This window comes from Homo sapiens, chromosome 17 (genome assembly GCF_000001405.40).
Source record: "Homo sapiens chromosome 17, GRCh38.p14 Primary Assembly".
Lineage (NCBI taxonomy): Eukaryota > Metazoa > Chordata > Mammalia > Primates > Hominidae > Homo > Homo sapiens.
In genome coordinates this window covers 51,245,792-51,268,256 of record NC_000017.11, presented here as the reverse complement: position 1 = coordinate 51,268,256, position 22,465 = coordinate 51,245,792, and the positions used below count along the sequence as shown (strand labels likewise).

The 22,465-nt window shown below is 40.9% G+C and overlaps 2 protein-coding genes across 23 annotated transcripts in view, besides 4 other annotated features; one reads left to right on the top strand and one right to left on the bottom strand.

Moving 5' to 3' along the window:
- The window catches only part of UTP18 (UTP18 small subunit processome component), a 37,388-nt gene extending 29,677 nt beyond the window's left edge, over positions 1-7,711 (bottom strand). For all 3 annotated transcript variants that reach the window (NM_016001.3, XM_011524870.3, XM_006721930.4), the window contains exons 1-3: positions 7,331-7,711; positions 4,871-4,983; positions 1,977-2,075 (exon numbers count right to left, since the gene is read on the bottom strand). In NM_016001.3, the coding sequence (NP_057085.2) occupies positions 1,977-2,075; positions 4,871-4,983; positions 7,331-7,672 (554 nt within the window). In that variant the 5' untranslated portion in view covers positions 7,673-7,711. The remainder of the gene's footprint in view (positions 1-1,976; positions 2,076-4,870; positions 4,984-7,330) is intronic.
- Positions 6,641-6,690: an enhancer, noted in NCBI's record as "active region_12402". NCBI's record gives its function as "activates an Ori minimal core promoter by ATAC-STARR-seq in GM12878 lymphoblastoid cells {active_cell/tissue: GM12878}" and the evidence as "EXISTENCE:reporter gene assay evidence [ECO:0000049][PMID:35858748]".
- Positions 7,161-7,350: a silencer, noted in NCBI's record as "silent region_8728". NCBI's record gives its function as "represses an Ori minimal core promoter by ATAC-STARR-seq in GM12878 lymphoblastoid cells {active_cell/tissue: GM12878}" and the evidence as "EXISTENCE:reporter gene assay evidence [ECO:0000049][PMID:35858748]".
- MBTD1 (mbt domain containing 1) overlaps positions 7,299-22,465 on the top strand; it is an 83,534-nt gene continuing 68,367 nt past the window's right edge. For 12 of the 20 annotated variants that reach the window (XM_047436320.1, XM_005257468.6, XM_011524924.3 and 9 more), the window contains exon 1: positions 8,208-8,422. In XM_047436320.1, the coding sequence (XP_047292276.1) occupies positions 8,402-8,422 (21 nt within the window). In that variant the 5' untranslated portion in view covers positions 8,208-8,401. Of the gene's footprint in view, positions 8,138-8,207; positions 8,459-9,050; positions 9,115-19,451; positions 19,514-22,465 lie in introns of those variants that run through there. The other 8 variants (NM_017643.3, XM_011524925.2, XM_047436322.1 and 5 more) reach the window with 7 other exon arrangements.
- Positions 7,701-7,810: a silencer, noted in NCBI's record as "silent region_8727". NCBI's record gives its function as "represses an Ori minimal core promoter by ATAC-STARR-seq in GM12878 lymphoblastoid cells {active_cell/tissue: GM12878}" and the evidence as "EXISTENCE:reporter gene assay evidence [ECO:0000049][PMID:35858748]".
- Positions 8,151-8,470: a silencer, noted in NCBI's record as "silent region_8726". NCBI's record gives its function as "represses an Ori minimal core promoter by ATAC-STARR-seq in GM12878 lymphoblastoid cells {active_cell/tissue: GM12878}" and the evidence as "EXISTENCE:reporter gene assay evidence [ECO:0000049][PMID:35858748]".

Sequence of the window (22,465 nt, the reverse complement as noted above, 5' to 3'; positions counted from 1 at the left end):
CAGGAGATTGAGACCATCCTGGCTAACATGGTGAAACCCCGTCTCTACTAAAAATACAAAAAAATTAGCTGGGCGTGTTGGCAGGTGCCTGTAGTCCCATCTACTGGTAGTCCCAGCTACTCAGGAGGCTAAGGCAGGAGAATGGTGTGAACCCGGGAGGCAGAGCTTGCAGTGAGCCGCGATCACGCCGCTGCACTCCAGCCTGGGCGACAGAGCCAGGCTCCATCTCAAAAAAAAAAAAACAAAAAACAAAAAACAAAAAAACAACAACTGGTACCTGGAAGAGGGCAAAGAGAGTTGTTTTAATTTTTTGATGCAGAAGTACAGACTAGCTCACCAAACTAAGCCCACGAGCCATAAACAACTAGAAACCTGGACAAAATATATGAAACAAATTTTTTCGGAAACTGGATGACAGCATAGGACTGTGATCCCTCAGAGAAGGGATATAAGCAAGATGAACCCCATCACCACCACAAATTTTCCCCTAAAGGCATTTATAAGACCCTGACACAAAGCTGAGAAAAAGATCAGACTTGAAAGAGACTGATACAACTGGACTTTGAGGGGCAGTGTCTGGTACACATCATCTTAAGATACTCCTCACCAAAATACGTAATTGAATTCTAATCAAGACTTTAAGCCCAACTTAACAGGAAATACAGATGACAGAACAAGTTAAACAACACAAAGAAAAAATAATCAGATTGAGGGAAGAGGAAATGCAAAGTGACTAATTAATGGAGAGTTTTCTTTTGAGGTGATAAAAATGTTTAAGAACCAAAAAAAAAAAAACCAAAAAAAAAGTTTTAGAACTAGATTGAAGAGGTGGTGGCACAACATTCTAAATATACTAAATGCCACCAAATTTACACTTTAAAATGCCTAACACTGTTATGTGAATTTCACCTCAATAAAAAACAGGAGTCTTAAAATGTCAGAATGTGGGATATTCTACAAGACAACAGGTCTGAACACTTAAAAGATAGGTAATGGCTGAGCACAGTGGCTCACCTCTGTATTCCCAGCACTTTGCGAGGCCAAGAAGGGCAGATCGCTTGAGCCCAGTTCAAGACCAGCCTGGGCGACATGGCGAAAAACCTCATCTCTACAAAAAAATACAAAAATTAGCTGGGCATGGTGGCACACACCTGCAGTCCCAGCTACTCGGGAGGCTGAGGTGGGAGGATTTCTTGAGTCCAGGAGCTCAAGACCAGCCTGAGCAACATAGTGAAACCCCATTCCTACAAAAAAATTTTAAAAATTAAGGTGGTACATGCCTGTAGTCCCAGCTATGGGGAGCCCAGGAGATAGAGGTTGCAATGAGCCATGACAGCACCACTCCATTTCAGCCTGGGTGACAGAGTGAGATCCTACCTCAAAAAAATATATAAATTTAAAGGACATAAAATCCAAATAAAATGTATGCACCTTACAACAATTGGAGAAACTAACATGGACTAGCCGTAAACTGTTAATTTTCTTAGGTATGACAATGGTATTGTGAATATGAAGGAAAACATCCTTAATCTTAAGAGATGCACATTGACAAATTAATGAGTTAAGTGTCGCATTATCTGTACCTTACTCTCAAATACATTGGGAAAGCACACACATCCCCCAAATACACAAAGCAAATATGACAAAATGTTAAAAACCATTGAACCCAGGTGGTGGCCATTTAAATTTTTGAAAATGTTCATATTATAAAATTATGGTGTACCATATGCAAATGAACAAGTAAGCAATATTATCACTGATTATATTTGAGTGGTAAGAATTTTTTTCCAAATTTTCTTTGTGTCTGTGTTTTGTCCCCTCTCCCCTAAAAAAAACTACAGAAATTTAGTCACTGCCCACAATAGCAATCCTCTTACTGTTTCAAAATGGAAAACTACACAAGAAGCGGTTACGGTTAATGACTGGGCATTGGTTACATACACCTCTTGGTAAATCATATGAAAAAAGACACTTACTCTTCTTTAAGTCTCTTTTTAAGGTTGTCTTTCGAAAGTTTACTTTCACTAGCATTTTTCATCATATCCTTCCGAAACCGATTGTTCATCATGTCAACCCTACAAAAACAGAACAGCATATTTTAAATAACTTTTAAAGAGTTAATATAAATAGCTGCTGCTTTTAGCACTTGGAGAAAAATGTTTAATGAAACAATATAGGTCAAGATTTTTAAGATGTGAACATTTCAAATGCATCTTCTCTGTTCTTCCTAAAAGAACAAAAAAGTAGTTGCCAACATTTCAGATCATCTGGTTTACACTTTGGAGAGCTACTATTTGAGAAAATTCATCATGACTTATCTGCACACAGTTTATGAAATTCTCCAAAATAAACCCCAAGTAAATCAAAGAGTTAAATACATAAAGAGCAAACCTTAGGCCCAGCGTGGTGGCTCACGCCTGTAATCCCAGCACTTTGAGAGGCTGAGGCAGGTGGATCACGAGGTCAAGAGATCCAGACCATCTTGGCCAACGTGGTGAAACACCATCTCTACTAAAAATACAGAAATTAGCTGGGCGGGGTGGCACACACCTGTAATCCCAGCTACTCAGGAGGCTGAGGCAGAAGAACCACTTGAACCCAGGAGGCAGAGGTTGAAATGAGCCCAGATTGTGGCACTGTACTCCAGCCTGGGCAAAAGAGTGAGACTGTCTCAAAAAAAAAAAAAAAAAAAAAGGCCGGGCACGGTGGCTCATGCCTGCAATCCCAGCACTTTGGGAGGCAGACACAGGCGGATCACTGAAGGTCGGGAGCTCGAGACCAGCCTGGCCAACGTGGTGGAACCCTGCCTCTACTAAAAACACAAAATTAGTCCAGCGTGGTGGCAGGAGCCTGTAATCCCATCTACTCAGGAGGCTGAGGCAGGTGAATCACTTGAACCTGGGAAGCAGAAGCTGCAGTGAGCCAAGATCGCACCACTACACTCTAGCCCAGGCAAGAAGAGCAAAACTCCATCTCAAAAAAAAAAAAAAGAGCAAACCTTAAAATACTATGAAGTAAAAATATAGATAAACATTTGTCTCTCTCTGTTAACTACTTACTATTAAAAAAGCAGTAAAAATAATGAAGGAAAAGATTCACAGATTTGACTATATAAAAATTCAAAACTTCTATGCACAGAAAGCTGGGGAAAACCTACAATAAATCTAACATATAAAGGTTTGAAATTCTCAATATGTCAGGAACTAATATACCAAGATTATTTAAAAAGTCTCCAATAGACAAGGACATAATAAAGAATATTTATAAGAAACGAGGCCAGGTGTGGTTGCTCATGTCTGTAACCCCAGCACTTTAGGAGGCCGAGGCAAACAGGTCACTTGAGGTCAACAGTTCGAGACCAGCCTGGCCAACATGGTAAAACCCCGTCTCTACTAAAAATACAAAAATTAGCTGGGCATGGTGACATGTGCCTGTAGTCCCAGCTACTTGGGAGGCTGAAGCAGGAGAATCGCTTGAACCTGGGAGGCGGAGGTTGCAGTGAGCCAAGATCGCGCCACTGAACTCCAGCCTGGATGAAAGGATGAGAGTCTCAAAAAAAAAAAAAAGAAGACAATGACTAAACACAAAAACACTTCCTCAAAACAAACTAGGTAGAGATATTACCCACTACCAAACTGACAGAGTCTGGAAAAAAAAAACAAATAAACCATTGTGTCTAAGAATGGACTGAAACTGACACCTTTCAATGGGAAGGCAAACTGGTAGAGCCCCATAGCATGCAGTCTGGCAGTACTTATCAAGAACCTTAAAAATAACTGTGCTCTTTGATTAAGTAATTCTACCTCAAAGAATCTTTCTTAAGGCAATAAATTAGAAAATAAAGAAAGGTTTATACATAAAGAGGTGATAAACATTAATGCTGAAATAATCTGCATTAAAGGGAAAAATAAGGCTGGGCACAGCAGTTCACGCCTGTAATCTCAGCACTTTGGGAGGCAGAGACGGGTGTATACTTGAGGTCAGGAGTTCAAGACCAGCCTGGCCAACGTAGCAAAACTCCGTCTAACTCTGTCTCTACTAAAAATACAAAAATTAGCCAGGTGTGGTGGCACACGCCTGTAGTCACAGCTACTCGGGAGGCTGAGGCAGGAGAATCGCTTGAACCCAGGAGGCAGAGGTTGCAGTGAACCAAGATCGCACCACTGCACTCCAGCCTAGGTGAAACAGCAAGACTCTGTTTCAAAAAAAATAATTAAAAAAAAAAAAAGGGAAAAAGAAAATCTACCCAACAATAGCCACGTAAATTATGGTTAATTCACATAATTGACTCCAACATAGCCATTTTAAAATGTCTATTTTTTTTAAGTAGGGAGAAATGTTTACAAAGTAACTTTATGTAGAAAAAGTCAAAATGTTAAATCAAGCATACAGTACATTCTCATCCATGACAGTTCCTATGGTGTGAGCTACCTTCTTTTTAGCCTTTACTCAGTTTCAGGCACTGTGCTAAAAGTTCTACAAGTACTATTTTGTTTAATCCCAACAAAATTCTGATGTAGTTACTATCATTGTGCCCATTTCACAAAGGAAAAAATGTAGGTTCCAAACTGCCCATGGTCAATTAGAAACTGGCCAAAAGAGGAGGCAAATCGAGATCTGACTTCAAACACTGTATTCTCTTAGCTACTGTATACAGCAAAGAGGAGACTGAGACAGAAGTGTGACAACATGCTAACAGCAGTTCTCCCTCGGTGGTGGGATCAGGAACCATGAAAGATCTTTTCTATACTTTCAAATATTTTTCAAATCTTCACATAATCACAAATTGGTAAAAAGAATGATTTTAAAATCTGCAAAATAACTTTTTTAAGTGTACAGAGGGATTCAGAAGAAAAGTTAGGCAACTTACATTTCCTCATCTTCATCTTCTTCATCCACCCAAACTGGCTTCTTTTGAGGTGGAAAATTACCTTTTGCTTCATTCTCCACTTCTGAGTCACCCGAGTCTTCATGTTCTTGAACCTACAGCAGACAAAACACCCTCAAGCACTGAGATTTTCCTATCCCATGACTGCAGACACATAGGCCTTACAGCCAAATGGCTCATAGAATGTTTTTTCTACCACTCTCTGATGAAATAATGGGATGGAATGCTACCATTGCAAATGCTGGAAGCAGAGGCAGAAAATGGAGAAATCAGAGAATGGCACCGACTGGACAGGTGAGGCAAGATGGAACAGTCAAGGAGAAAAAGTCAACACTCAACACGCAGGAAGGAAAACACCAAGTAAGACAAGAACAAAAGATGAGTCTGCAGATGAAAAAAGGAGGAGAAATGTCAGAACTACAGAAATTACAGGACCGGAGGCAAACTAGAGTCAAAGATATCTCCATTTTCCCAATCTGTTTTTGACCCCCTACCTCCTTAAGAAACTTTATACCAGCAGAGAGCGCAATGCCTCATGCCTGTAATCCCAACACTTTGGGAGGTCAAGGTGGGAGGACTGCTTGGGCCCAGGAGTTCGAGTCCAGCCTGGGCAACATAGGGAGATCTCGTCTCTACAGAAAATTTTTAAATTTAGCTGGGTGTGTGGTGTGCACCTGTGGCCCCAGCTAACTACTTGGGAGGCAGAGGCAGGAGGATCACTTGAGCCTAGGAGGATGAAGCTGACTTCTGAGTTTAAAGTGTTCGGAGAATTGTGCAGGTGTAATTTATCTGTGACCAACAAGAAGAGCAACCAGTTACTATTAGCAAAAGGGAGATGGAAGACTAATAGGTGCCGCTACACTCCAGTCTGGGTGACAAAGTTAGACCGTATCTCTAAATAAGTAAAAAATAAATATACCATTAAATCTAAATTCTAAAGTTATAAATTTATACCATAAAGTTTATACTATCAAATCTAAACCTAGGCCGGGTGCGGTGGCTCACACTTGTAGTCTCAGCACTTTGGGAGGCCGAGGCGGGCGGATCACGAGGTCAGGAGTTTGAGACCAGCCTGGCGAAGATGGTGAAACCCCGTTTCTACTAAAGATACAAAAAAAAATTAGCCAGGCGTGGTGGCGCACGCCTGTAATGCCAGCTACTCCAGAGGCTGAGGCAGGAGAATCGCTTGAACCCAGGAAGTGGAGGTTGCAGTGAGCCGAGATGGCGCCACTGCACTCCAGCCTGGGCGACAGGGCGAGTCTAAAAAAAAAAAAAAATCTAAACCTAGACCACAGAATATCCCTTGAAGTGAGTTTGAGCTTCCCAAAACCAATGATAGAAATGTCCAAGTGGTTTCTACTTGCTCTACTACTAGTCTAATAGCCTTCAAACCCAACAGCTCCCACCTCCGTACACTGTTCCTTTTCCAGACGACAAAACCGTCGCACAGTTCAGCATGTTTCCAGTAATAGTTCTGTACTTCCCAAAAAGATTGCTGCCACTTCTCCTACAAGCACCCGAAGGCGGCTCTGGTAAGCAGCTGACATTAACTAGGTCAGCATTTGTGTAATAAACATGGCCTGGGTAATTCTCGGTGAGCTTTCCTCTGCCCCCTTTATCTAAAATTTCACAGGCCTCTACACACGCCCATCTCCCTTTCCCGAATGTCCTTTTTTCTCTTCAGCACTTGTCACCAACAAACCTGAAGTTTACTCGTTTATCTCCTCTATCTTGTCTCTGCCACTAGCACACAAGCGCCAAAAGGCAGGGATTTTTGTCAGTTTTGTCCATTGCTGTGTCTCCTCCAGTGCCTAGAACAATGTCCGGGACTCTCTCAAGAAAAGCCTGGTATAGAATTTAAAGGGATAGCAAAATGTGTGCAAAAAGTATGATCAATCACGCAGGGTTTGCCATTGCCAGAAAGGGTATCTGGCAACTAACAGGTTCACCAATATTTGCTAAATGAACGGAATACACGATCATTCTCAAAACATGGTGGGTCTCATAGTCACATGGGGACATAGTTACAACGGAGATGCCCAGGCCCGTGCCCACGAATTGATTCCATCAACGAAATCGAATTCCTGAATCACAAGGAACTGAGGCAGGTGATCAAAAGACCACCCTCAGTTTGGGAAGAGGCTAGCGGAGTCGAGCAGCAGCGAAAGATGCTCACGACCACAGTTCGCAAAGCAGATACCCGAGCAGCGGCGCCTCCAGGGGCGGAGAAAGACGCGGTCCCCGCCCTCCAGGCACTTTCAGTCTGGAGCAGGGAGGCGAGGGACCCGCAGCTGCGACCCTCCGCGCCCGCGTTCTCGGGCTCCCTCCCACCTGAGCGCTCCCCGCCGCCGCAGGTCGCCCAGGCTCCGCCCCCCGGAGCTTCACCGCCCACCGCGCGCCCCGCCCGAGTGCGCCCAGCCCGCGCGCCGCGGCCTCCCTCACCCTCGGGCCTCGCAGACGCCGCAGCAACGCGTCCTCGTCGTTCTCGACGTCGCCGAAGACCAGCTCCTCCAAGCACCGCTCCACGGCCGGTTTGTCCTCCTCCAGCCTCAGGCGGTTCCGCTGCCGGAGCCGTCTCTCTTCCTCCGCCGCCGCGACTGCAATCGCAGCGGCCGCCGCGCTCGGCCGGGCCGGCGGTTTCCGCTGGGATGAAGGGGCAGGCTTTTGGGGAGGCCCGCCTGGCCCCGCTCCGGCTTTCCAGTCCGGCCTCATTCCGGGCTTCCGCTTCGGCTTCGCTCCGGTTCTCCGGTCCAGTTTCATTCGTCTCCTCCGCTCCGGCGGCATCGTTAGGTTTGAGGAGAAACGCAGGCGCTCACGTGGAACCTCGCTGCGCATGCGCCCAGGCCCCTCGCGGGCCGCCGCCGCCGAAGCCCCGGGGGCCGGAAGGAGCCTGCGCAGCCTCTTGCCACGTGACCAGCACTCCCTCCCTCTACGTAACTCCCGCTCCCCTACCCAGCCCCGCCCCGTGTGGGAGTTCCTCCGGGAGGGCCAATCTTCCGGGTGTAGGGGGAAGCGGCGTGACTGGAGTGGAAAATTTTTCCAACACAATTTCGCAGCTGCAACATATTGAAAGGAGCGCAAGAAACCCCGACTATACACTGGGACGGCTGAATGGAACTTCTGCTTTTCCTCTTGGCTGTAACCACTTGACTTGACACAAGCCCCAATACGCTTTCCACCCTTCGTCTTGGTACGGTCCTTGGAGTACGGAGCCTGCAGAGGGTCCCACGGTGGAAGCGAGAGAGGAGGGTATGTAGGGAAGTGGGCCAATCGGGGCGCGGGTCACGGCGCAGGCGCGCTGGGGAGGGAGGGCTATGCTAATGTTGTTGATATCCTGGGGCCACCCGAGTTAAAGGGGGGAAATCCGGGGGCTGCTGCACCCGCCACCGGTCTGGGCCCAGCCGGGGGCCCCCTGTAGTCGCCGCAGTCCCGGGGAGAGGCACCTGCCCCCAGCCCGGGGAGGGGGCGCCGCGGGCTCGGGGAGCACGGACAACCCCTACCCATGAGGCCCTGATGGAAAACACAAAGGATCTGGTGAGAGCCGAGCGCGGCAGCCGCTTTGTGTGCCAGGTGGGGGGGACGCCTGCAGCTCTCCGACCCCAGGAACCCCGCAGCTCCCTGACCCCGCTCCCTGGCCTGCTTCTCCATCCCACGCCCTCTCAACCTCCGGAGCCCCCCTCCCCCTTCCAGCCGTTAAACGATTCAGGGGTTCCCCTCCCCCCACCCCGTCAGCCTTGGACTCGTTGGGGTTCTCTCCATCTCCTCCACCCTTTGGAAGAAAAATTCGAGAAGAAAGTTTTTCTCTGCGTCCTGCCCCCGCCCCCTGCTCTGGCTAGGGGGGAAAGGCTGGATCCGAGACTTTTCCTTTTTTAGCCACCCAGGGTGGGAGAGTGGAGTAGTCCTCTCTTCTTGGCGGGGAGGGGGAGCACAGTTTCGTTGCTTTGCAGGGGAAGGTGTCTATCTGCCTTGGGGGCAGTGCCGCGAGGCGGTTTGCACGTGGAGGTGGAAATATTGAAAGGGGGCGGGGTGGGCACGTGCGGGAGAGGTGGGAGTGGTGTTTGGGAAGCAGCCTCCAAGGCTGCATATTTAAAAGGGTTTCAAGTCGGTGGACTTCTGTGACCATTGCGTTCTCCTTTGTGAAATAAGAATCCTAACATTTCAGAGTCGGAAGAGACATTAGAGGTCATCCAAAGCAGCCGTCCCCTCTGCAGCCTCTCTGACAAGTGGTAGGTAGTCTGAACCCTGCTTACACCCCTAAAAGCACTGAGAGCTCACTACTGCCCAGGAAAGCCCATATTTCAGTAGTTCTAATTGTTGTCTGCCTACCCTTATTAGACCCTTCAGTCTCATTCATGTCCTGGTTAAGTTGCTCCTTTTTTTACTTCTCAAATTTTCTCTCACATCCTCCTCACCCACCCACTGCTCATTGGCCTATATTTTGTGTGCCAAGAAAGAACAGCAGGGAAGTGGAGGAAGGGGGGTTGAGAGATAGTGAGGGCTAGCCGAAAACTTTGCTGGGTCAGTGTCAAGTGTGCTGGCTTACATGCCTGAAGATGTTTTTCTACAGGAAGCTAAAGAATTACAATATGGGAATTTCGTGCCTGTTTTCTCTTAGGAGTGCATCTTTTTGAAGTTAGAAATTTCAGCGTCATCTCCGTGGTTCTTGTATCACAAAACACATTTGTTTATTACCTAAATCACTTCTAAGGATGTCTAAAACTGAAGTGGTTAGAAGCATCACCTGGTAGAGGGATGATTAGATGATTACCGCCCACACCCGTATTTGACCTGTGTTCCTCGGAAGCTAGTCTTTCCTCCAAGGGCCTCTCTTCCAAATGCTTTTACTCCTTCTTTTTTTTTTTTAAGTAACTATCTTTTATGAGATTTGAAATTTACGAACCATTTTAATACTTGTTTAGAGTTTACAATATTTTTAATTCTCCTTATATTAGCATGCACCAGTACTTATCACTGGGTGGTTGAGATAGTTGAAACTATTGTCACTGGGTGTTTTTCTAACATTCTCCTTCATTTGGTGAGCTATGCTGCCTCTAAAAGTAGTTTTATTGGCCTAAGAATCTTGGATATACCTATTACTCTCTAATGTGGTGAAGTGGGTGTCAAGACATAACAGGTATAATGTAGAAATAATGCATGTGATTTAAAAGCCAGCAAATAAATTTCACCTTAAGCCCCAGTCTCCTATTTAAAAGGTTAGACTCAATTTTTCTCTCCTCCTCTTATAACTTAGAGACTGTTGCTTTGCTCTTGTGGACTTAGACTGTTATTTTATTTTTCATTTGTTTACCTCAACACCAGAGTGTTTAGAAAGAAAATAGCTGTACTTTTTTTTTTTTTTTGCACCACCTCCTTCTCTGAATAACAAGTAGCTTCTATCTATCTAAAACCCCATACTGATTGCTTGTGAGTACCTTGCAAATTATGGCAACATCTGTCTTGAATAAGTATTTATTCATAGTGCCTTACGTTGTTGCGTCATGCTTTTTAACCATCCAGTTTCTAACTTTATGTAATGTTTGACATAAAATATTTCCTCTAAATCTACTCATTAGAATTCAGCTTGTGAAAAAGAATCAGTAGAGGTGTAATAATAGTGTTTTTAACATTTTAATTAATAAGGAGTTCCAAGTTTTTTTCCTGCTTACTTTAAACATGAACTGTCATGACTTAAGTTGACTGACTTTGGAGACATCTGCATTCTAAACATACTAGACAGGAACAACTGGTTTTATTTTTAAGACGCTGCCATATTCTTTAAAGCTGGTTATATGTTGACCTTATTATCTAAACCTTTCTAGATGTTCTAGTGCTGCTTTTGGTCCCTCAATAATGTTGAAAATTAAAACAACATTTTAAATTGTTTTCAAATGTAACATAGTGATCAAAGGAAAATATAAGCTATAGTTTAAAAGTGAAAACAACATATTAGGATAAATACTAAACCACTGAATTACTAAAAGCCAAGAGTGCTCAGTAGTCTGAGTAACCACATTCTAAAATTAGACAAGTGACATTCTTTGGGTTGCTCTTTGTTTCTCAGCTTTTCATCTTTAAAATGTTTGCTAAATAAGATATAACCTTTCACACTTATGTATCATTAGTCTGAGGGTTTCAAAATTCAAGAAAGAATAAAAACATCAGGACAATAAAAGAGAAAGGACTTACAATAGTTAAAACAAGCTAAGATATTTCTCCTAACACCACAGTATTCTTAACTGTGCAAGATGACTTTTGATTTCAGGCAAAAATTGCACATAGATTTAATCATTATTTTTTAATAAACCTTGGCTTAAGGATTTTTTTACCTGCAAATTTAGGATTTCTCTTCTTGCTTTGCTGGAACCCACAATAAAAGGTGAAAAGGAAATAATTCCCATTTGAACAAACCCTGAATATGAGATAGGATGAAGTGATACAATAAGAGGGGTGCTGGCAGTGAGGTTGATGTCACAATTCTGCCATTGAGTAGCTCCATGGCCCTTGTTGGACAAGATCCTGTGCCTCCATTTTCTCATGGCAGTTGAAGGGTTAGTCTAGTATCAGCATAATCCAATAGAAGTTTCTGCAATGATGGAAATTTCCTATATCTTTGCTGTCCAGTTACGGTAGCCACTAGCCACATGTGGTTGTTGAGCACTTGAAATGTAACTAGTGGAACTAAAAATTGAAGAACTCAATTTTTAATTTTGCTGTTTTAGGCAATGTAAATTTAAGTAGCCAAATGTCTGGCATACTGGACATACACACATAGAACACTGTTTTCTAAGCATAACTAATCATTATAATCACTTCTTGGAGGCTCTTGTTAAAATACTAAACTTCTCTCCTATAACTTATTTAGTAGGTCTGCAGTGGGTCCTGGGAATGTGTTTTTAATGTATACCCCAGAAAGTTTATCAGGTTGGTTAGGGAAACACTCCATTAGGAGATTTCTGAGGTCCCTTCGAGTTCTCACTTTAGCACTGATAATTTAGAATTTAGTCTAGTAGAAGTGAGCTCTGGACAAAGTCAGCAAGCTACCTCTCTGAACTGCGATCTTAGGTGAGTTGTGTAACCTCTTTGAAAGCTTCACTTTCCTCATCTGAAATACAGGGTGAACATCAGCCCTGCCTCCTGTAGTTTCTGTAAACCTCCACTCAGATGTTATGCCCGCTGTTTAAAAAAAGTAAGCTGCTATAAAAGATGAGACAAGTCATAAGATAAAATGTTAAGATGTGTTCCCAGGCTTTCCTTCTTTTTCCTTTTTCACTATGTTTAATTCCTACTACTAGTCTTTTAAAACTGGTTGTATATAATACTCATTAGTTTGTTCAACGTTGTGGCCCAATTATTTGGCCACCGTTTGCAGTCTTAATTGTAGGACAGGAATGTTAAGTCTAATACTTCTTTGTATTTCTGGTGCTAAGCATAGTGATTTGTATATATCGTTCAATAAATATTGGTTAATATTAACCAGGTGTGTTGGCTAACGCCTGTAATCCCAATACTTTGAGAGCCCAGGACAGGCAGATTGCTTGAACCCAGGAGTTCAAGATCAGCCTGGGCAACATGGCGAAACCCTGTCTCTACAAAAAAAAATTACAAAAATTAGGTGTGGTGGCACACCCCTGTAGTCCCAGCTACTCGGGGGCAGAGGTGGGAGGATTGCTTGAGTCTGGTGGGAGACCCAGGTTGAAGTGAGCCATGATTGTGCCACTGGACTCCAGCCTGGGCGACAGAGTGAGACTCCGTCTCAAAAAAAAAAAAAGGAAAAAAAAAAGGTTATCATCATCTATTACTTTAAGACTTCTAAGCTTTAAAATTTGCTAGAGATTATTTTATACACCAGAGAAGTAGCCCCCTTGTGTATCTGTATGTGTTTAACCCATCTTTGTTTAATTATTAACACCCTGTAGTTACTATTGTTCAGTGATTTTATATCTTCTGAGCAACCAGTTCCAAATATATTTTTTAAAGGTAAACACCAAGAGAATGTTATCATTTCAGATCAAGTGTTTTTAGGTTATATCAGATCAATATGATACTGAATAAGCTGTTGAATTTACTTTCTCTTTTCTTTTTTTTTTTGAGATGGAGTCTTGCTCTGTTGCCCAGGCTGGAGTGCAGTGGCATGAGCTCGGCTCACTGCAGTCTCCGCCTCCCGGGTTCAAGTGATTCTTCTGCCTCAGCCTCCCGAGTGGCTGGGACTACAGGCAAATGCCACCACACCCAGTTCATTTTTGTATTTTTAGTAGAGGTGGGGTTTCATCATATTGGCCAGGCTGGTGTCAAACTCCTGACCTTGTGATCTGCCCGCCTCAGCCTCCCAAAGTGCTGGGATTACAGGCGTGAGCCACTGCGCCTGGCCCGTCTCTATGTTAACATACTAATAAATGATCTTGTTTGATCATTCAGACCACATTCGCCCTACAGACCCAGCTTGAGTATGAATTCTATTATTGGGGTAGAATTGATAGCTGATAATGATCTCAGGGAATCTCTAGGCCACTGCATGTTTCAGACTTAATTTTGATATGGTCATCTTATTTTTAATTAGCTTTCCAGGTTTGTACTTAAGGATTCATAGCTTTCTTCGGAAGAACTGAAAGCCTATTCATGTGAATTTTTTTATTTTATCATACATCCTTCCTGTGTGGTAAGTGATGTTTTTCTTATTTAGAAGAGAGGGAAACTGAGACCCAAGTAATTGTTACATCCGAAGTCATAACAGTGATAGGTCTAGAAGTTGAACCCAAAGAGGTAGAAATTTGTATTTCTTGTAGATCAAAGAATCACTTCCTTTTGTTCACTGTTGCTTTAAATCTTAAAATATTGCTATGTAGAATATTGTCCTCTCCTATCATTCTCCTGGGTACTTTTCCATTTCTTTAGATGGGTTATTCAGAATATTATTGCTTTTGGTTTCCTCTTGATTGTATCATTGACATGAATTTATTCTTGCTTGCACATTGAATTTGTGGGAAATAAAAACTCAGTAATCCCAAATCCTTACCATTTATGTTCCTCGTAACAGTAAGCTTAGAAAGAAAGAAGGCATTTCTCTTTACACTGATGAGTTTTATCACTATACCAGAATGTGCTTTCATCCTCATAGTATAATAGAATGAAAAAGAGGCCTGCAGGAGCTAAATAGCTCTTGAGCTCCTACCAAGTTCAGTCATTGTAGAGTATGTATTAATCTCTGTTTACTACTTTGTGATCTCATGCATACAACATTCAAATTTAAGATTCTAGAAAATATTTGCTCCATAGCTAAATATAAAAATTTGAAAATTATGTGAGCCACTGCTCCCAGTGGGTTTGGATAATGAAGAATTGGTTGACTTCTGATGAGTTTATTCATATCTGGTGAGTTTACTCATATTGAAATTACACTATTATTAATATTACTTGGCTCCATGTTTATTGACACCTGCATTTAAGATTTCAAGTGTTTTCTGTCATTTCTCCCAGAGATGTTTAGTTTTGTTGGAACTTTTGTTTGGTTATACCAATAAGTTAATGACTATGCTTTTTAATTCCCTTGTAGATTTCATAGGGAGGATGGTTTACCTAAGTGACAGTTACAGTAGGACAATGAAGTTCTGTTGTGATTTGTGATCTCTTCTTTAATTTTGTCACTATAAAAACCTTTTATTTTTTATTATAGAAGTACACCTATAATGTTTTAAAAAAGAAAAATATTGAAAAGTTAGATTCATCTTCCCATGCCACTTCTACCCTGCTAAAAGTTTAGCTACTCCTAAGGTCTTTCTTAGTGCACATAAAAACAAACATACATATATTGATCTGTGTATATGCCAGTGTATATTGTCTCTTTGAATAAAAAGTGAGTCATATTGTGATATATTTTATTATACTATATATTGTGATTTATTTTTTCCACTCAGTATTTTACCTGTTGCTCATGATTCCCCTGCTGATTGTAAGTTTGTCTCCAGTTTTTCATTATTATTACATTAGCAAACATCCTTCTACATAGGTTCTTGTGTCCTTGTATGTATTATGTATGAGTATTTCTGAAGGACAGATTCCTAAAAATGGAATTACCTAGTCAAAAGGCATAGCCATTTTAAGTTTTCATATGTAATGTCAAATTGCCTTCCGGAAAGATAGTGTAAGGTTACCTTCCTACCAAGTGTATATGAGCACTGTTTTTCCCACATGTATTTACTGATACCAGATATCATCAATCTCTCAATATATACCAACTTAATTTTTTAATGTACTGTATACTTCATATAAATTAGCTTTTATTTTTATCAAAGTAATACATGCACTTGATAGTACAATAATTAAACAATGCTAAAAGTATTCCAAAAAAAATGGTCCTTGTCCCAATTCAGCTCTGATGAGACAACTGCTTTCATTCTTTTAGCTTTCTCATCTAGTATCTATCTCTCTAATTCTAAAGCTTAGGCTTATATTATTTATTTAGTATATGAATTTTAGACATTAGTGACTTTATAGTGGACAGGGAGTTAGAACATACACCCAAATATAAAGCAAGGTTTACCTACCTACAATCATTCCATCTCCCTACATTCAAGACCTTAGTCATCTAATATGATTTGCAGTTTTTTGGGGTTTTGTTTTGTTGTTTTGTTTTTTTTTGAGACAGAGTCTCACTCTGTCGCCCAGACTGGAGTGCAGTAGCTCAATCTTGGCTCTCTGCAACCTTCGCCTCCCGGGTTCAAGTGATTCTTCTGCCTCAGCCTCCCTGGTAGCTGGACTACAGGTGCCACCACCACACATGGCTGATTTTTGTATTTTTAGTAGAGATGGGGTTTTACCATATTGGCCAGGCTGGTCTGGAACTCCTGGTGGATTACTCCTCAAGTAATCCACCCACCCTTGGTCTCCCAAAGTGCTAGGATTACAGGTGTGAGCCACTGCACCTGGCCTCGGTTTTATTTTGAAGAGCAAAATGTTCATGAAGGCACGTTACCTGAAACATATTTATTTGATGCTTGTTTTGTATGCTTACAGAGGCTAGCTGACAGAACCAGTATTGGGGAGGGGGGAGAAAGAAGGTTAAAATTTAAAACGTTTTAAGATAGTCCCATGATTCATATTATTAGTGTTCATGGTGGTTATATGATCTTGGGCAAGTTGCTTAGCCTATTTGGGCCACTGCTTCCTCCTGTAAAATGAGAGTGACACTCATAAGGTTTAAATGCGCTGCTACAGATTTAAGTGCTGAATATGCCTGACACATACTAAGCATATTACAAATATTATAATAATAACCAAATCAGATCAGTAACAAAAATAGTCCAACATGGTTGGGTGCAGTGGCTCATGCCTGTAATCCCAACACTTTGGGAGGCCGAAGTGGGCCAATCACTTGAGGCCAGGAGTTCGAGATCAGCCTGGCCAACATGGCGAAACCCTGTCTCTACCAAAAATACAAAAATTACCCAGGTGTTGTGGCACACACTGTAATCCCAGCTTCTCGGGAGACTGAGGCATGAGAATCGCTTGAACCTGGGAGGCAGAGGTTACAATAAGCCAAGATCATGCCACTGCACTGCAGCTTGAATGACAGAGCAAGTCCAATATTAGGTTATTGTAGAATTTACAAATAAACTCCTATAGGACGAAATGTGTTTAAGAGTTCAACTCACAAATTTAGTTTATTTCTCTGCCTATAAATAGAGATTTGTAGATTCTTATAGGTAGAGAAATAAACCAAATTCCAACTGCTCCTTATGATCATTCCTCTAGGTGTTAAGAGTGAGAGAGGGAAGGCTTGACAAATTTACTGAAAGAGGTATGGGAGTGTGAAAGCTTTAGACAAGGTACAAAGATCCACTCTCAGAAAGAGAAAATCTGAAAAAAGCTCCAAAACATTGATCATAGGTTTGGAGTTTGATAGTTCACAGCTCTATGTATGGAGAAGAGCTTAAAGGTAAGCAGTACCAGAATTGGTAGCTTTAAATTATAAGCATTGCCTCATAAGGGAAACATGAAGACTTGGAGACATGTCAGTGAAGACTTGGAAACATGGCAGTGAAGAAGAAGAAAGAAGAAAAAATTCTTCAGGAAAAGAAAAAAACTGAACTTAGAGAAGAGGGTGTTCTTGAAGTAGGAGCTCTGCCTATGAAATGAACAGAAATAGAAAAGAGCAGGCCACATCCATACAGAACTGTAAGAAAAAACAAACAGGAAATGTGAATCAGCATTTCAACTGATGAAAATCTACCCCCATCAAAAAAAGCAGGAAAAAATTGACACAATGCTCCAAGTGAAATTAAACATCCTCAAACCAATGTTTGGAGATTTGAAAAATAAAATTAAGAAATATTCTGAAACAAATACAAAGAACAAAAAGCATTAAGAAATGAACACAAAGTAGATTAAACAGAAAAATAGAAGATAAAATCATAACCAATAATGAAGTTTTAACATTCCCACATTTCAAATTCAAATTTAATAAAAAGTCTTGAAGAAAAGCAGGAAAACAGGATAATTGAGATGAGATTTTTGTTTTGAAAATTGACCAAGTTGAAATGGGAGATGGATCCAAAGTCTACTGTATATAATTGGTGTCCTTCAAGAAGAGAAAATATTTAAAACTATAATCCAAGAAAACTTTCTGGAAGTGAAAAGAGATCTGAATCTATACCACAGAAGTTCATACCAGAAGGCACACTCAAAGATATTTCCTAGTAAAGCTGTATGACTGTAAAGATGCAAAGAATTCTCAGGGTCTCCAGGCAAAGACGTGACATAGAGGCAAGAGAATTAGACCAGTGTCAGATTTCTCAAAAGCAACATAACAAAGCAAGACAGTGGAGCAGCATGAGGAAAGTGACTGCTAGCCAAGGATTTTATATCCAGCTAACTGTTGTCCAGGTATTAGGGCTGCAGAACAACAGTTTGAACATGCAGGAACTCAGGGAATACTGTACTCGTTTACCCCTCCTGAGGACACTCGAAAAGGATGACTTTCATCTAAAAGATATTTGGGACATTTCCTACAAAAAGACTGTGACAATAAGTATTTCAGATATCTTTTTGAACTAAGATTAAAACCAATAGTAGGGACCTAGAGAATAGTACATAAACATTATACATTCTGACAAAGCAGAAAGAATGCAACTAAAATATAATGGGATGGAAAATAAAAGGAAAAACTAAGGCCATGTGTGGTGGCTCACACCTGTAATCCCAGCACTTTGGGAGGCTTAGGTGGGTGGATTACTTGAGCCCAGGACTTCTAGACCAGCCTGGGCAACATAGTGAGACCCAGTCTCTACAAAAAAAAAAAAAAAAGTGTTTAATTAGCCAGGCATGGTGGCTCATGCCTGTAGTCCCAACTACTCAGGAGGCTGAAGTAGGAGGATCATTTGAGCCCAGGAGGTCAAGGCTGCAGAGAGCTGTGTTTGCCTAACTGCACTCCAGCCTGGGCAACAGAATGAGACCCTGTCTAGAACTGTTCTTTTTCAGAACTAGAATAAGAATAATTACTGTAATTGAAGTAATATGAGGGAGTCAGAGGCTACCATCTAAAACTGAAAGACCAAATAGAAAAGATTAGGTAAGAAAAAAAATACAGTGTACTGTAAAAGCTATTAATATAAAGGTAAGCGTGACGAAGACTTTCCAAAATACTGAGAGAAATTTTTAAAGGGACAAAGAAAACCATGATGGAACAGAAAAAAAAGTATACAGTACATAATGCATACCCTAATGATAAAATATGTGGAGAATTGAGAGCAAACATAAAGGCCAGGACAAATATGTACCAGGCAAATAGAAACCCCAAGAATACAAGACTGAAAATGCTGATAGCAAAGTAGAATTCAAACCAAAAAAAGCATTAAATCAGACAAAAGAGAACAGTTTATAATGCTAAAAACCATGATTCACAACAAAGAATTCACAGTTAAATATGTACCACATAACACAGCAACAATCTGTATAAAGCAAAATCTATATGAAGTATAAGAAGAAATAAAAAACTAAAATTAGGGGACTTTGACACTTAGCACAAGATGTAGTGGGTAAAAAAGGATATAAAAGATCTAAATAATATAATGTGAATCTTCAAGTATATCCCTAATAATCAAGAATATACTGCTTCCCCCCACCCCCAACTCTGTCTCCCAGGCTGCAGTACAGTGGCATGATCACGGCTCACTGCAGCCTTGACCTCCCTGCCTCAGGTGATCCTCCCACCTCAGCCTCCCAAGTAGCTGAGACCACAGGTGCACACCACCATGCCCAGCTAATTTTTTTTTTTTTTTTGCTTATTGTAGAGACGAAGTCTCGCCATGTTGCCCAGGCTAGTCTCAAACTCTTGGGCTCAAGCAGTCTTCCTGCCTTGGCCTCCCATAGTGCTGGGATTATAGGTGTGAGCCACCATGCGGGGCCAGAGAGTATGTTCTTTTTAAACACAGAATATTCACAAAAAATTGTCAATCTATTAGAAAAACATTAGTAGGTCCCATACAAGAAAACAAAAACAAATTCAAAAAGCAAAAGGACATTGCACTTCCGTCTTGAAGTTAAGAAACCTTGTATTATGTATTCACAGAAAACCTTGTACAAGAATTTTCGTGGCAGCTTTATTCATAGTAAAATCTGGATGAAGAAAGGGTAAGCTGATACATTGACGAGTATTACTCAGCAATAAAAAGAAACCATTTATACATGTAACATGAATGAATCTCAGAAACACTATGCTGACTGGAAGAAATTAGACACAAAAATATGCATACGATTTTATGCCATTTATATAAAATCTTAAATATATACAAAATTTAGCCAAAGCTAATAGAACTCAGGACTGGGGAGAGATTGAGTGGGAAAGGACAGGAAGGAGCTTTCTAGAGTGACAGAAAAGTCCTATATTTTGATAAGTGTTCAACAGTATGCCTTAATTTTTAAAAGTTTAATGGGTAAAAGGGAAACACAAATTGCAAAGTTTCTGGAAAATGATGATAAGAAAAGTACTACATAATACTACATACCAGAATCTGTGGAATACATTTAAAGCAGTGAGCAGAGGAAAATTCATAGCCCTAAACACTTACATAAATGAAAATAAATTCCCAATTCAGAAATGAACAAAGTAAGCCAAAAGCACAAGGAAGGAAATAAAGATAAAAGTAGAAGTTAATGAGTTAACAGAAGAACTATACGTCTAGTTGATGAACCAATCTTGGACCCTTGAGGGAAGAGTCACATAATAGATGAATCACTAGCTAATTTAACCAAGTGGGGAAAGGGAGAAAGCACACATGAAATTTTAAGAAATAACAACGGGAAAATAACATTGGATACAGAGGAAATTGAGAACTATTTTAATACAGAACTATTTTGCACACCTCTGTACAAATACATTTCAAAACCTAGATGAAATGGATAATTTCTTAGGAGAATACAGTTTAATAAAATTGACCTCATTAGAGATTAAAAGAAAATAAGACCAATTTTCCTAGAAGAACTAAAAATTTGTCAAGGAACCATCCCACCAAACACCAGGCCTAGATGGTTTCACAGGGGAATTCTGCCTGACCAGATACTCCCGATGCTACATGAGTATAGAAAATGGAAAGCTAATTATTTTTGTGACGTAAGAGTAATACTGGACTGTGTGCAGTGGCTCACGCCTGTAATCCCAGCATTTTGGGAGGCCAAGGTAGGAGGATCACTTGACCCCAGGAGTTTGAGATTGGCCTGGGCAATTGTAGTGAGACTTGATCTCTACAAACAACTAAAAAATTAGCTGAGCACAGTGGCCTGTGCCTATAGTCCCAGCTACTTGGGAGGCTGGGGTGGGAGGATCACTTGAGCCCAAGGGGTGTTGAGGCTGCAGGGAGCCAAGATCGTGCTGCTGCACTCCAGGCTGAACGATAGAGCAAGACCGTGTCTCCAAAAAAAAAAAAAAAAAAAAAAGTAATACTGATTTCTTAGCCTGATCAAGATAGCTCAAAAAATGAAAATTACAGAGTTATCACATACAGATACTAATGAAAAACTATTACTGTGCAGTCTCTCACACTATATTACAAAAATACATTTTGATGAGTGAGTTTTATACCAGGAATACAAGGATGATTCAGTATTTGGAAATCTATTTATGTAGTTCACCATACTAATCGGTCAGAAGAGAAAAGTTGTGTTCTCTTTATAGAAGCCGAAAAAGCCTATGACAAAATTCAACACCTGTTCCTAACAAAAACTTTTCAGAAAATAGGAATGGATGAATACTTCCTTAACATACAATATTTTTATTTTTATGAATACACACATATGCACATGTACATAGCCTTAACCCTAAAGCCAGAATCTTATTAAGAAACACCACAATCAAGAATAGAGTAAGGATGCCCATTTTCTCCATGACTTAATATTATACTGGAAATATGAGTCAATACAGATAGAAAAGAAAACAAATGGCCAGGTGCAGTGACTCACACCTGTAATCCCAGCACTTTGGGAGGCTGAGGCGGGCGGATCACCTGAGGTCAGGAGTTCAAGACCAGCCTGGCCAACATGGTGAAACCCCGTCTCTACTAAGAATAAAAAAAAAAATTATCTGGGTGTGGTGATACGTGCCTGTAGTCCCAGCTACTCAGGAGGCTAAGGTGGGAGAATTGCTTGAACCCTGGAGGCGGAGGTTGCAGTGAGCCGAGATTGCACCACAGCACTCCAGCCTGGACGACAGAGTGAGACCCTGTCTCAAAAAACAAATTAGAGACATAACAGTGGAAAAAGAAGAAAAGATTGTTTGTTAGTGACGTGATTGTTTATCTGGAAAGCCTTAGAAAAATCAGTGACAAAACTACCTTCAAACAATTCAGCGAGGTAGGATATAAAATAATAAACCTTTGTGTAGTGAGAAAATAACCAGTTAAGAAAATACAACAAAAGAGAAGATTACAATAGCAACAACAAAACATAGATTGAGCATCCCTAATCCAAAAACCTGAAGTCCAAAATGCTCCAAAATTTGAAACTCTTTGAGCATGGACATGACACCACAGATAACCACATAGGCAACTGAGATAGTGACACCTTTGCTTTCTGCTGGTTCAGAGTACACAAACCTTACTTGATGCACAAAATTTTTTTTATACTGTATAAAATTATCTTCAGGCTATGTGTATAAGTTGGATATGAAACAAGTGAATTTCGTGTTTAGACTTGGGTCTCATCCCCAAGATATCTAATTATGCGTATGCACATATTCCAAAATCTGAAATGTTTCTGGTCCCAAGCATTTTGCATGAGGAATACTCAAACTATAATTAAATTCCTAAGGATTTACTTCCTTAAAAACGTTGTTAAAAACCTATGTGAAGCAGGCTATATAAAACATTCCCAAAAGACACAAAGCAGACTTGAACAAATGGAAAGACATCCACTGTCCTTGAGACATATCAAAATGTCACTTTTTCCAAAGTTAATTAGAAATTTAATGAGATCATAATATAAAAAGACTGATAACTTTTTGGTATAGAGTTGAACTATCTAATACTTGAAGTGCACTTGGAAAAATAAACATGCAAGAATGTAAAAACATTAAAAGATTTTTGAGGGGGT